Source organism: Homo sapiens, chromosome 3 (assembly GCF_000001405.40).
Source record: "Homo sapiens chromosome 3, GRCh38.p14 Primary Assembly".
NCBI lineage: Eukaryota > Metazoa > Chordata > Mammalia > Primates > Hominidae > Homo > Homo sapiens.
In genome coordinates, this window is record NC_000003.12 from 31,962,402 (window position 1) to 31,977,930 (window position 15,529).

Consider the following 15,529-nt stretch of genomic DNA (forward strand, 5'->3'; position numbering starts at 1 on the left):
AGTACCGGACATGAAAAGTGGTATTGGTTTCACAACAGTATGAATATACTTATGCCACCAAACTGTACACTTACAAATGGTTAAAATGGTAAACTATATGTTCTACATATTATAAAAGTAATGAAACACTATTTTTTTTTTTGAGATTTCACCATCTTTAAATGGGAACCAGCACAGGAGAAGTGCCATAAATACTCTGCCTGATTCCAGGGGGCTTTTACCCGCAAGAAATGTACAGTTAGGGTTTCAATCGCTCCCATTACACTAAGTTGTAACGCAAGCTCCCTGAGACAAAACTTTTCCATTTGGCTGTTTTCACAAAGACCACAGGAGCACATAAAGTCTTGTCTAGGGGAGCAAATCCAAATCACTTGGGTGCAAGGTAAATGCACAAATGGGAAAAGCCAATGCCAAAATCACTGCTGCTTTGATAGCATTCACTAAACAAATATTGAGTACCTACTATGCGCCAGGCACTGTGCCAGAACTTAGGTCTAATGCCTGATCTCCTGGATCTTGCAATACAATGACTTGCTTTCAATCAAAAGACTTCACTTTTGTGGCAATTTCAAATAATATTACAGGAAGTGGTGTGACTCCTGTTTCTCAAAGGAGCCATGTGTTTCCTTGTTTTCTGTTTTTTTAAATGTGTACTTTGAAATGACTCAAACTTACCAAAGAGTTGCAAGAATATGACAAAGAACTCCTCTATCTCCCTTCACACAGATTCAAAAATTATTGATGTTTGCGTACATCTGCTTTATCATGCTCTCTAGCCATCTCTCCCCTCCCTTCTCTCCCTTCCCCGTCCTTCCTTCCTTTCCTCCCCTCCACCCACATCCATCCATCTCCCTCCCTTTCCCATCCCCTTCTCCTTATATAAAGTGTTTCCTCAACCATCTGAGAATGAGTTGTAGACATCTCCCTTTATTCTTAAATATTTCATATTTATGTATTTATGTATTTTCCAAGAACAAGGACATTTTCTTATAGAACCATATGATGATCAAGTTCTCACAGTTTAACACTGATTAAATACTATTACTTAATACTTAAATGCTGCCAGTTCTTCAAATGATGACAGCAGGAGTGATGCACAGATTCTAAAACAATGATTTGAAGGCTCACTCTTCAAACACCAAATGGACTAAAGAGACAACCTGTAGAGACACACCCACCCAAAGAGGCGCCTGGCTTGCTCCCTTGCTATCCATAGGACATTTCGTAGAGGACTCCAGGCAGAAGAAAATTCTCATTAAAATTCCTTCCCTTATTACTTAATGAAGCTCCCTAACTGGAACAAATCACATTTAACCTGATTTCTCCAAGATATGACTTAGTCCTATCTAATTTTGTTCCATAGTCATGAAATCTCTGGATAAAAATGCTTTCTTGTAACAAAATTCAGCAGCATCACCTTCCACACCCTCCCAATTAGATTTTTTTTTTTTAATCTCAAGGTCCTGGGCTCAAGCCATCCTCCCACCTCAGCCTCCCGAGTAGCTGGGACTAATGACATGCATGACCACACCTGGCCCCAATTAGAAATTGTTCTAATCTCAGTAGCCCTCCTGCTCAGCATCTTCCATTCAAAGCAATATTTCCAAAGCACATCCAAACCAAGAGGGAATGTCTTGGGAGACACAGGTAAATCTCCCTATTGAGATGGAGGTGGATGAACCTGGGTTGTCTAATGATTCCTTCAATATAGCTGTCAGATGTTTCTCCAATGATTCCATCTACCCAGCACTCTTTTTTTGTTGTTCATTGTTTGATACAGGGTCTCACACTGTCACCTAGGCTGGAGTACAGTGCCTTAATCTAGACTCACTGCAACCTCTGCCTCCCAAGTTCAAGCAATTCTCCTGCCTCAGGCTCCCGACTAACTGGGACTACAGGTGTGCACCACCACACCTGGCTAATTTTTGTACTTATGGTACAGACAGGGTTTAGCCAGGTTGCCCAGATTAGTCTCAAACTCCTGGCCTCAAGTGATCTGCCCGCCTCGGCCTCCCATAGTGATGGGATTACAGGCGTCAGCCATGGCACCTGCCCTACCCAGCACTCTTAATGGGTAAGCAGTGGTCTCAGAACCTCTTTCATCAGCATCCATCCACTCATTAGAACCAATATGTATTTCCTTAGATCAATCTTCACTTGACGAGGTAAATAACATCTTTACATTAAGTCTGAGTTGGAGTCAATTAAATTGTCTGAAAAAGCATCTCCAAGTAGTCCTGAAGCTGATTTTTAGGTATTTACCTAAAATAATGATAGGTGTGCCTCATAAAATGAAATAAACAACACCCTGGCCTGAAATACTTGTGTGCTTTCAAACAATGAACAAACATCAAGTTCTCATGGCTCATCATTTAACTGACTTCATGTAGCAATACTCAGGAAAATTAAATGTAAAAGTAAGTTAGTCTGTAAAAGAACACACAAATTCAGGGGAAAATCTGAATATGAATGGCTTATGAGCAGAGGGTGTACTTTCTTTCCAGACCACAGCTCCAAAATTATCAAATAAAAATTTTTAAAGTCAGTCATGATATAGAACTGAACATTATCAACTGAATCAAACTGACATTTATAGCACAATTCATCCAATGACAACCAAATACATATTCTTTCAAGTATACATGGAACAATCATCAAGATAGAACATATTCAATGTCATAAAACAACCCTTAAAAAATGTAGGCCAGGCGGCCGGGGCGCACTTTGGGAGGCCAAGGTGGGCGGATCACGAGGTCAGGAGATTGTGACCATCCTGGCTAACATGGTGAAATCCCGTCTCTACTAAAAATACAAAAAAATTAGCCGGGCGTGGTGGTGGGCACCTGTAGTCCCAGCTACTCGGGAAGCTAAGGCAGGAGAATGGCGTGAACCCAGGAGGCAGAGCTTGCAGGGAGCTGAGATCGCACTACTGCACTCCAGCCTGGGTGACAGAGCAAGACTCCATCTCAAAAAATATATATATTATGTATAATATATAATATAAAATATATATTATATATAATAGATAATATATAATATATATTATATAATATATAATTTATATAATATATATTATATATTATCTATTTTATATAATATATAAAATAGATAATATATAAACTATTATATTATATAAATTATATATTATATATTATATAAATTATATATTATATAATATATTATATAAATTATATATTATATAATATATTATATAAATTATATATTATATAATATATTATATAAATTATATATTATATATTATATATTTTATATAATATATATTATATAAAATATATAATATATTATATAAAATATATAATATAATATATATTATCTATTTATATAATATATATTATATTAAAAGATAATATATATTATATAAATAGATAAGATATATTATCTATTTATATAATATATATTATATAAATATATAATATATATTATATAAAAAGATAATATATAATACATATTATATAAAATAGATAACATATATTATATATTATATAAAATAGATAATATATAATATATATTATATAAAATAGATAATATATATTATATATTATATAAAATAGATAATATATATTATATAAAATATAATATATATATATATAGGCCAGGCTCAGTCGCTCATGCCTGTAATCCCAGCACTTTGGGAGGCCAAGGTGGGAGGATTGCTTGAGGTCAGGAGTTTGAGACCAGCCTGAACAACATAGCAAGACCCCATCTCTACTACAACAACAACAACAAAATTATGTGTGTGTGTGTGTGTGTGTGTGTGTGTGTGTGTGTGTGTATTCACACTTCTAAATAATTCATGGGACGAAAATAAAGTCTCAAGATAAATTACAAAATGGTTAAGCTGAACTAAAATAGAAATACAACATATCAAAATGTGTGAGTGCAACTAAAGCAATGGTTAGAGGGAAATTTATAGCACTAAATGTTTACATTAGAAAAGAAATGATAATTTAATAATTTAAGCATCTGCCTTAGGAAACTAAAAAACTATATATAAAGTGAAAAAATAAAAAATATTAGAATAGAAATCAATTAAATTGAAAACAGAGAAAGAATAAAGATCATAAATGAAACAAAAAGTTGATTCTTAGAAAAGATCAATAAATTGACTGACCTCTAGCAAAACTGATAAAAACAAAAAGAAACACGAACAAGTTACCAATATCAGGGAGAAGAAAAAGGGGCCTCATGAACATTAAAAAGATAATAAGGGAATACTAGAAGCAACTCTACATACCTAAATTCAACAACTTATAAAAAATGGATCACTTCTTTAAAAAGCATGAACCACTCTCAGAAGAAAACTCTCACAACCATAAGAAAACAAACAACCTGATTGAAATCCAATTTAAAAATGGGCAAAAGACTTAGCTAAAGCTAACCTTACTAAACACGATATCTGGATGGGAAATAAGCACATGAAAAGCTGTTCAGTGTCATTAGCTATCAGCCAATTACAAATGAAAACCATGACACACATTTACTAAAATGCCTAAAATTAAAAATATCATAATACCAAGCGCTGACAAGGATGTGGAACTGGAACTTTCATGTGAGTATGAGCAAGTTCATGGACAATCTCTGAGGGGATTTTTTTTTTTTAATAAATGGTTAAAACACATTTTACTACACAAATAACAAAGATTTAAGCTGTTACTTCTGAGCATAAATAACATGTTCCATGAGATAATGCAAGACAAACCAAATCAATCTTGCACATCAAAACCAAGGTCAGGAAAAAAAAAATCCCATTCCCTCACTGAGACATCTTTCCAGCTCTGGACAGGAATGCAGAGAGCTCATGCCACTCCAGGTTTTTTGTTTGATTGTTTTCTGTTTGTAATTTTTTGTAGAGTCTCACCGTTGCAGGGAGCTTGCCATTGCCAGGGCTGGTCTCAAACTCTTGGCCTCAAGCGATCCTCCTGCCCTGGCCTGTAGTAGCCCCAGCCACTTGGGAGGCTGAGGCAGGAGGATCGCTTGAACCCAGGAGGTTGAGGCTACAATGAGCTGTGATTGCACCACTGCACTCCAGCGTGGACAACAGAGCAACACCCTGTCTCAAAAAAATGAAAAAAAAAAGTTGCTTATAAATGGTAATTCATTATAATTTTCCTATGTTGGAGTAATGAGGAAACAAGCAATGTTTCCCACTTCATCTCATTTATAAATGAAAGAGACAGTTGACATTTATATTACGATGAAACAACTTAATAGGGAAAGGATAAAAACAGTGAAAGGATAAAAACAAATCTCCCAAACCTTTGGTTTAATGGTCCTTTCATAAGCTGCAAATATGCTGGCTTTACCTATTTGCTCACAGGCACTCACACACTCAGGCAATTTCATTGTAGTTAATCTCTGGAATTGCCTAACAATCATTTTTATCACACCTGGGCATCTTCTAAACCAGTCTGGATGAAGCTTCAAGAATGGATGCTTCAGTGGCCACATTAGAAGACTAGAATTAAGGCAAATTGGATAATGTTTATTAGATATATGCTCTATTCGGTGATTAAGTATATAGTGCACACCCCAAGGTTTTTGTTTTGAATAGGTCAAGTGAATTTTTGTTAATCTTTCAATATAATTTCAAATTTACAGAGAAGTTACACAAATAATACAAATAAGTATTTACTATTAAAGAACTATTAACATTTTACCACAGTTGCTTTATTATTTTTTCTTTCTGTGTGTATTTCTTTCTGTAAATAGCCAACATAATGCCCCTTTACCCTTAAATACTTCAGTGCGTAAATGTTAAAATAAATACTTGACATGGATACAGTACTATTATCAAATCTGTAGACTTTATACAAATGTTGTCAATCATGTCATTTATAGAAAAAAAAATCGGATCACAAGTTACATGCAGTTGTTACACAAAAGAATTCAAAGTCTTAAACTAAGAAAGGAAGCAAAAACAAAAAAGGAAACAAAACAAAAATATCAAAAATACCAATAACACTACAATGCTGGAAAGGAAAAGGAAGCAAGCCTTCAGATAAACAGAAATTCAGACCATTCCATGACATGAATCACTGCAATTTAGTTTCATCCAAGTTAGGTCATGCTTTGCTTCTATTTTGAAGGGGAAAAAAAAAAAAAAAACACTTTACCCAGACTTAAACTTGATTTCCCAGATACAAGTTTGGTCTACTTTCTTTGATACAAAGATTTTCTGAAGCATACCTTTACGTTCAACCCATAAAAATGGCCTATCCTATTAATCAACATGAGAAAGAAAACATGCCATTCTGGCTTTTAAGACCATCTTCCTGAATTTTAGCTGACTTCGAAGCAATCATGTAAACTGATCTTTGACATAAAAATTCCAGTTACAGGAAATTCCAAATTAACTAAACAACTATAATAGTGTTATGATGTACTTTGGGCCAAGGTATCAGCTGCAGACTTCTCATAAAAAGAAAAAGGCACTCATTAGCCAAGCTAATAAAAATTACCACAAAGAAATTTGCTGGAGCAAAGAGAGGAATCAATATGAAATGCTATATAATGAATGTACGACAAATGCTCTCTCAACGGCACGTACTAGCACAAATGGGTTTTTGTTCTGTTAAACTTTTTAGAGACGAGGCCACTAAATGAGTCTGCTGCAGTACACACACAAAAAAGTTCTGTGCTGTGTGGTTAGCCAAGGGGATCAAGAAGCCCATTGTTAAGGTATTAGTAATAGGGTGGAACTCAGACACACAAGAATCCCAAAAGCAAAGTACATTCCGCAAACGCATGATCCTATTTCAGCCAAAGTCCACACTCTGAGGTTAATGAATTGGGAGGCCTCTGCATAAATCAAGACATCTGTCAGCACTTACAAATAATCACAGGGCCAAGGAACCCCTCATCCATCCCCTAAACACTCAGGCAGAGAAAGGACAGGCCAGGCAAGGAAAGTCATTCCTAAGGACCAGCCCAGAGGTGGCAAGAGTTGGCAAGGTTGTCTAAAGAGAAAGCTCTACACTTACAGCTCTGGAACAGTTAGGGTTTTGGAAGAGGAAAAACCACCGAACACAACCCATGCACAGAAAGATATTCTGCCCAAAGGAGGGCTACAACATCACTCGTTAAAACACGGGGCTTCGCTGGGCACGGTGGCTCACGCCTGTAATCCTAGCACTACTTTGGGAGGCTGAGGTGGGTGGATTAGTTGAGGTCAGGTGTTCACGTAATGAGGTCGGATTACTTGAGGCCAGATTACTTGATTACTTGAGGCCAGGTCAACCTGGCCAACATGGTGGAAACCTCGTCTCTACTAAAAATACAAAAAATTAGTCAGGCATGGTGGCAGGCACCTGTAATCCCAGCTACTCCGGAGGCTAAGGCAGGAGAATAGCTTGAACCTGGGAGGCGGAGGTTGCATTGAGCCGAGATCGCACCACTGCACTCCAGCCTGGGCGACAAAGCGAGACTCCGTCTCAAAAAAACAAAAAAAGAAAAAAAAAAAACACGAGGCCTCTTCTTTGGAAAGGCCATGGAGAGAAAGAGTATGCGGGGGTGGGGGGCGCGGGGCAGGAAATGATTATCTTGCAGTGGAATTAGCTGGTCCTAGTTTACCCTAAGCCAAAGCCCTCAGTAATCTCATCTATAAAATGAAGGGGTAGGAGACCAAGTTCTTTCCAGAGAAAAAGAAAACACACTTTGAAGTCCGAAAATTCCGTGCTCCACAATTTATTAACTGTGCAGTCTATGTCACTCTAGGCCTCAACATCTTCACCTGTAAAACTGCGATTCTACCTGCATCAATTAGGGTTAGATCTGACTGAGACTCGGGGCTTGCAAAAGAAGCATATTCCTCCCCCTCCCCACAAGGAAAATTCCAGAGGTTGCAGCTAGGATTTATGAGGTGGCTTTGATCCACAAAGTCCTCTGAGGCCAGATTTCTTCTGTCTCCATGGCCTTCATCCCAGTCACCTCGAGGTTCAAGACGGCTGCTGAAATTCCAGCCATCATTTCCATATTCTAGTTTTGGCCAGCATGTCTATATTCCAACAGGAAAGGAAAAGGTAAGAAGAGTACAAAGAAGGTTCCAGGAAATTACTATGTGACAACTCTGCGCTTACATCCAGATTATAATCTCATCACCATCCTAGTTGCAAGGAGGGGGAGGGATGAAAATACAGTTTTATTTTTGACAGCCATGCATCCAGCTAAAAACTGGGGTCTATAGCTACAGGAAAAGGGGAGAATGGATAGCTTTGCAACACCCACCTCCATCTCATTTTAAAGATTAAATTGGATAATATACGTAAAGTGTCTGATGCTTCGTGGACCCACAAATACACAGGGCCAGCGTTCCCCTTGTGGTAACACAGACATTTTGTGATCTGTGGTCTCAGCGGCTTAAGAGCTTCTTCAGAAAGTAGCCTTTTTTTAGCCTAGTCTGTCTTTTACAGTCTCATCTCTGGCCACACTCCACATACAACCTGCATTCCAGCCATACTAAACCTATCTCCTTTCATGCCTCCAAACATTTGTACTCACAGAGCCTTCTACCAGGGACGCCCTGCTGAAGCCTTTGTCTGCATGATGAACTCTTCTCTTCAACATTCTAGAAGGTCTTCCTCCACCTGCGACTTCTGCCCTTTATTCCCAAGTGGAGCAGCTGCTCCCACTCCCAGGTGCTTCCTCTGCAGTAGCACTCACCACCTGTACTGCTGCATCTAATGAGTTGGTTTTTTTTTTCTGTTTTTTTTTCTTTTTTCTTTTTTTTTTTTTTTTTTTGAGCTGGAGTCTTGCTCTGTCGCCCAGGCTGGAGTGCAGTGGCACAATCTTGGCTCACTGCAACCTCTGCCTTCTGGGTTCAAGCGATTCTCCTGTCTCAGCCTCCCAAGTAGCTGGGATTACGGGCGCATGCCACCATGCCCGCTAATTGTTGCATTTTTAGTAGAGACAGGGTTTCGCCATGTTGGCCAGGCTGGTCTCGAACTCCTGACCTCAGGTGATCCACCCACCTCGGCCTCCCAGTGTGCTGGGATTACAGGCATGAGCCACTGCACCTGGCCCTAATGAGTGCTTTCTATGTGCCACCCATTGTCCTAAACCCTTTATACACAGCTTCTCAGTTGATCCCCAAAACTCTATGACACAGACACCATATTATCCCCATTTTACAGATAAAGAAACTGCGACATAAAGGTCAAATAGCTTGTCCAAGGCAAAGAGTAGAGCTGGGATTTAAAAACAGGCTACTGGACCTCAGAAACTACACTCTTAGCCCCAACACTGGGCTGCCTCAACTACTTGCATAAGAAATCTAAGTGTAATTATAGGGAAAGGATGATCAAACTACATCTCACAGGCTATATCAGCCCACCGCCAGCTTTTATAAATAAAGTTTTATAGAACACAGATACATCCACTTATTTACAAAGGAGCACTCGGTAGTTGCCATGAAGACTGTATAGCCCACAAAGTCTAACCTACTTACTATCTGGCCCTTTACAGAAAAGTCTGCTCCCCTCTGTTATGGACTGTCAGCTCCTTAAGGTAGGGCCTGTGCTTCTTCCTCCTGTCTCCTGCTTCTCACATGGCATTTGACATATACATAAAAAGCGCTCAAAAATATTTGGGGTATAAAAATTCCACCAGGCATAATTTCAAGCAAAGAGGAGTATGTTTGGGGGATGGTGCTGCCACCTCACTCAGGGCTTAGAAAGTTTCCCAACTCTGGGCCGGGCACAGTGGCTCACGCCTGTAATCCCAGCACTTCGGGAGGCCAAGGCGGGCGGATCACCTGAGGTCAGGAGATCAAGACCAGCCTGGCCAACATGATGAAACCCCGTCTCTACTAAAAATACAAAAATTAGCTGGGTGTGGTGGCGGACGCCTGTAATTCCAGCTACTCAGGAAGCTGTGGCAGAAGAATCGCTTGAACCCAGGAGGTGGAAGTTGCAGTGAGTGGAGATCACGCCACTGCACTCCAGCCTGGGTGACACAGCGAGACTCTGTCTCAAAAAGAAAAAAGAAAGTTTCCCGACTCTGCCCAGACTCTACTTAACAACCAAAAAGCCCAGATCAGCTGCAGCGGTGGTTTTCATTGCATTGTTAGCAGCCCACACAGCTCTGACGGAGTGAGCACTGCAGAGACGGCTGAGTGAGGATCATTTGCATCAGTCACCTAATCTACTCGATTGCCCTGAACACAAGGCCAGAACAGAGCCCCCAGTTCTACCCACACATAAGGAGAACCTGAACCCCACCACTTTCCAAAAAACGTCCAATCCCACCCAACCACTCATGGCAGCCTGCACAGGCCACAAGGCTGGCCGTGCAGATAAATACTTAAAACATCCTGGAAAAGAGTGACTAAAAACTGATATTGGTTGCCTTTCAACTCTTTGTATTTTCATCAATATATTTATAGAAAGGGACTAAACCACACAAAAACATAAATAGTCCCCTAAAAACTACAACACAAAAAGAAAAGATTATTCATGGTGCAAATGCCTTCTCTGACCTTCAAGGAACAGACTTGCAACAAAAGACCATATATAATGTTTCCTAATTTTATCATTATTATTGATATCATTGCATGAGGCACAAATAAAGCATTTTCTGGGCTGTGACCATATTCAGTCCAGTCTAGGTTATCAAAATTCAAATTCTGGATGGTTTTCTTTTTAATTCTGTCTTGGCCTGGCCCCAAATCGCATCAGTGGGAGCCAGGCAGAACTGCAAAAAGCCTCCCACGTTTCCGGCACAATCATTTCAACCCTTCTTTCAGGACACAAAGGCCCATCCATGTGGCTTCTTTCTTCCCAGAGTCCTCAGACAACTGTCCACAAGCAGCCTCTGAGGAAGCACACCAAACGCAGACAGCCACTGGGCAAATCAAATGGCTTAAGTCAACTGGGTCCTCATGTAATGAGAGGCAGGGCTAAGACACCTGCAGATTTGCCAAGGCTGGGGCTTAAGTGACCACCAATGCAACCCCTAGGTTCCAGAAAGCTAGTCACTAGTCTATCTAAAATACAAGACTCTCACTCACAAACTTCTGCTGAGGACCTACTGTGCACCAAGCACAGGACTGGTGCCTGTGGTGGCCTCACAACACTGCGAGGTTCATATCATTTTACAGATGGAGAGACCAAGGCCCAAAGAGTTAAATAACTTGCCCAAGGTCATTTGGCCAAAAGGAGACAAAGCTGGAAAGGTAAGAAGGACTACACAGCTTCTCCCTAGACTGCCCCTCTCAGAAGCAATGCCATGCACATGAGGAAGTGGCAGTCCTGTTTTCCAAAAGCTCTCCAGGTAGCAACATGAAGATGGCCAGGATGGGGAGCCATCTATTCACTTATGCACTGCTGGTGGCAGTGTGAAATGGTTCAGCCACTTTGGAAAACAGGTTAGCACTTTCTACATAGGATGGATACACGAGCAATTCTAATGCTAGGTATTTACCCAAAAGAAATAAAAGCATGTGACCACACAAAGACTTACACACAAATAGCAGCTTTATCTGTAATAGTCAAAAACTGGAAACAGCCCAAATGTTGTCCTACAGGTAATGGATAAACAAACTGTGGTATATCCACAGGACATAATGCCTGCATAATACACCGTGTCTCTATATATGCAGTGCCCAGGCACCTGTATACAGGCATCCAGCAAAGGGCGCATACCCAGAATATATAAACATCTCGTAAAAGTCAAGAAGAAAAAGGCAGACACCCAACAGATAAATGGGCAGAGGACTTAAAGAGCAGCTTGCAAAACATGACATCCCAATGGCCGATTAATACGTGAAAACATGTTCAGCCTCAGTAGTCATCAGGGAAAGGCAAATTAAAATTGGATGACATGAAAACAAGAGACAATATCAAGTGTGGATGAGAATGTGGTACACACAGAACTCTCTCTACACACTTTTGGTGGAAGTATTAATGCATACAACCACTGTGGAAAACTCTCTGCTAGTATCTAATAAGCTGGACATGAGCAAACACTCCTAGGTGTATATCCACAGAAATGCATACCTATGTTCTCCAAACACAGGTACTAGAATGTTCACAGCATTGTGACCCTATGAATAGGGTCAAAAACTGAAAAGAACTCAAATACCAACCTACAATAGACAAATGTGTTCAGTATATTCATACCACGGAATACCAAATAGCAATGAAAATAAACAGACCACAACTATACACAGAAACATGCGTAAGCCTCCCAAACATAACGTTAAGAGAAAGAAGCCAGACACACAGATCACATATTACACAATACACAGTTCAAAAGGAGACCAAACAACTCAGTGGTGTTGAGGTCAGAATAGCAGTTACCGTATGCGGGGAGATACTATGAGGAAAGGGGCTGTGGGGGACAGGGAATGTTTTGGCAGCTGTTTCTTAATCTGGGTGTGTTCCATTTAAGAAAATTCATTGAACTGTGTATGTATATGATTTGTGTACTTTTCTGAATGTAGATTAGACTTGAAATTTACTCGCAAAACTCAGTTAGACAGATGACGTGAAAAGGCATGAGCAGCTTTTCTTTGCCTCAACAACTTTTTCAAACTGCAAAACAGACACACATTCACCTTGGGAAAACAGACAAGAGAAGATAATGGAAATCACCCATAATCCCACCAACCAAAGAAAACCATTTTGGTGTGAATCTCCTCAAATATACACACACTTTCAAAGGAGGGGGAGGGCAGATTCTGCAGGGAGTAGTTAATACGAAGCAGGTGCTCAATACGTATTTTGAACCATAAGTGAATAAACAATATTATACAGTGTTTTGTAACCTAGGCAACCATCCCTTTTATTATTACCATCAATGAAACTAGTTAGTGTCCCTAAAGGATTTTAGCACACGGCCTCAAAACACTCTGGCAGACTACACAGGAAGATATGCAGATATTTCCTATGTACACGCGGACAAGAATACAAAACCCAGAGCAGTGATTTTCAACCCTGGTATCACCAATTCCCTCTAAAATTATTGGGATACTCAAAAAAACACTTATTTTCCTTCAAGGTGGCTTTAAAAATTCATATATACCCCAGTGATGCTTTAATTTGGGATAAGTGGCACCAAAATGCTGGGGGCTAAACACTAAACACTCAACGTATGTTGTTAATCCAGATAGAGTCAAAAGCAAGCCCTGGATATTTGGTCACTAATGGCCCCCAATGGGTGAGTTGTGGTGGGCCCTAAATCAGGGTGGGCACGTCACAGGAAGAGTCATACTCCCTGATCCAGAACCAAAGACTGTTTGCAGAGAGCAGGACAGATGATAAACACAGCAACACAAGGACAAGGTTACAAGCAGGTACAGAACCAAGACTTCTGATACTAATAATAGCTAACACTGGCTCAAATAGAACTAAGCCCTGGTTTCCCTCTCTGACATTTATTCATTTTTTTATCCATTTGACAATACTTACTCTACCCTTACTGTATACCAGACCCTGTTCTCAACACTGGAGATAACAGCAGCAACAAAGACAAACAAAATTATCTGTCCTCAGGGAGCTTATACTCTAGTGTGGAGAGACCAAAAAAAGTAAAATATAAAGCATGTCAGATAATAGCAAGGTATATGGAGAGAAATAAAATAGGAAAGGAAGATAGGATTTAGAGGCTGGGAAGGGGAGCTGTAAATGTTTGGTGCCAAGTTTTAAAAGGATCCCTTCAAAATGAAGTAATCATCTTCTCCCCAAAGAACTCTATGATAATTATGTTAATGTGGTCCCAGGGTAACCACAGCACTCAGAATAAAAACCAAGAATTTTATGGACCAGAAAGTGCCTACTTAAAAACAGACAAATTGAAGATCTAATAATAGCTACCACTTCTTGGTATCTTGCTATGTACTATTCTCAGTCCCTTATACACCAATAATCTCATTTAATCTTCACATTGAACTAATGAAAAGAGTAACATCATTTCCCACATTTAGCAGAAGAGAAAAACAGAAGCCCAGTGCAATTAAAGAGCTAGCCCACGGTCACATGTGTGCTAAGTGTTGGTGTCAAGATTTGAATCCAAAGTTCACACTACTCTTCCTCCCCAAATAAATGTCTACTTTAGAGACAGAGTCTTGCTCTGTTGCTCAGGCTGGAGTCCAGTGGTGTGATCATAGCTCACTGCAGCCTTGACCTCTTGTGCTCAAGCAATCCTCCCAACTCAGACCCCTGAGCAGCAGTGACTACAGGCCTAAGCCACCACCACTGGCTAATTTTTATATTTTTATTTTGTGGAGACAGGGTTTCACCATGGTTCCCACGCTGGTCTGGAACTCCTGGGCTCAAGCAATCCTCCCACCTCGGCCTCCCAAAGTGCTGGGATTACAGATGTGAGCCAATGCACCCAGCCTTGTCTTCCTTAATCCTAGTCAAGATTTGTTGTCATTCAGCATTTTATTGAGTTCTTACAACCCTGCCAATCACCAAAAAAAGAATTGAAGGTTGGTTCCACGTTCGCAGTGTCTTCTTTTCTCCAAATAAGAAAAAGTGAATGGCAATGGCAACCCTTAGATATTTAAATAACAATTTCTAGATCCAATTAGAAATTATTTCCTCAAATACTTGATATTATGAGCAACTCCAAAATAGCTCCATTTTAGTTTGAGAGTAAAGTTTGACTTAGGGCAAATGAAAGTTCATACAGCCAGTTTCTTACTAGGGGTAAGCACCTCAAACTGAACACAGTCCAAACAGAACTCTTGGCCAAGCCTCACCCTCCCCACAAACACATTCCCCTCCTGTGATCCTCATCTCCACAAAGGACGTCTCAACCTCCCAGCCTCTCAGGCCCACAAATCAAGAGTTATTCTTGCCCCTCTCTCACCTCCACATCAAATTCATCAGCGATTTCCATCCTCTCCACACCAGATCTATCCCTTCTCTCCAGTTCTCTGCCAACCCCCAGCCCAGGCCGCCAGCATCTCTTTCCTGGACCACTCAGATGGGCTCCTAACTGGTCTCCCTGCTTCATGCTTTGGCCCCTTGAAAATCTCATCTCTACACAGCAGCCAAAGTGACCTAATAAGTGTCACTTCCCTTCCTAAAATCCTTCTGGGCCACCAGAACCCAGTCTGAAATTCTAATCCTGGCCAACTAGGTGCTAGGTCATCTGCCTCCTCAAGTTCTCGAGGTTTACTCTCCCCATGGTTCACTCTGTATGAGTGATAAGATGGGTAATAAGAGAGTACTCTAAGTGACAATGTGAATAGCAGTAAAAACACTAGACTCACACTTAAAATTATTCCTGCAAATACTTGCTTTATCTCATCACCTTTTTTTAACCTTCATAGCACTTGCCACTTTCTGGATTTTTTATTGTTGTTCATTTGTATCAATGTATTTACTCTTCAGTGCCATCCTGTAAATCTATACAATGTTATTATGCCTGAAATATTTTCTTTAAATATCTATAATAATGAATGACAGAAAGCCCTTAATGCATGTTTTCCCCATACTCTAAGTATTTCACATTCTCATCCAGTGAGTGTGAGCCAAATGTCCTGAACTTACTCTCCTGAGTTGAG

The 15,529-nt window shown here is 39.9% G+C and overlaps 1 protein-coding gene across 10 annotated transcripts in view; it reads right to left on the minus strand.

Annotated features, from left to right (window-relative positions):
- The window catches only part of OSBPL10 (oxysterol binding protein like 10), a 416,868-nt gene that overhangs the window by 301,577 nt on the left and 99,762 nt on the right, over positions 1 to 15,529 (minus strand). The window contains exon 1 of one of the 10 annotated variants that reach the window (XM_047447388.1): positions 8,518 to 8,595. The exons of the other annotated variants lie outside the window; for them this stretch is intronic. The gene's annotated coding sequence lies outside the window, so the exon portion shown is untranslated. Of the gene's footprint in view, positions 1 to 8,517; positions 8,596 to 15,529 lie in introns of those variants that run through there. 10 annotated transcript variants of the gene reach the window in all.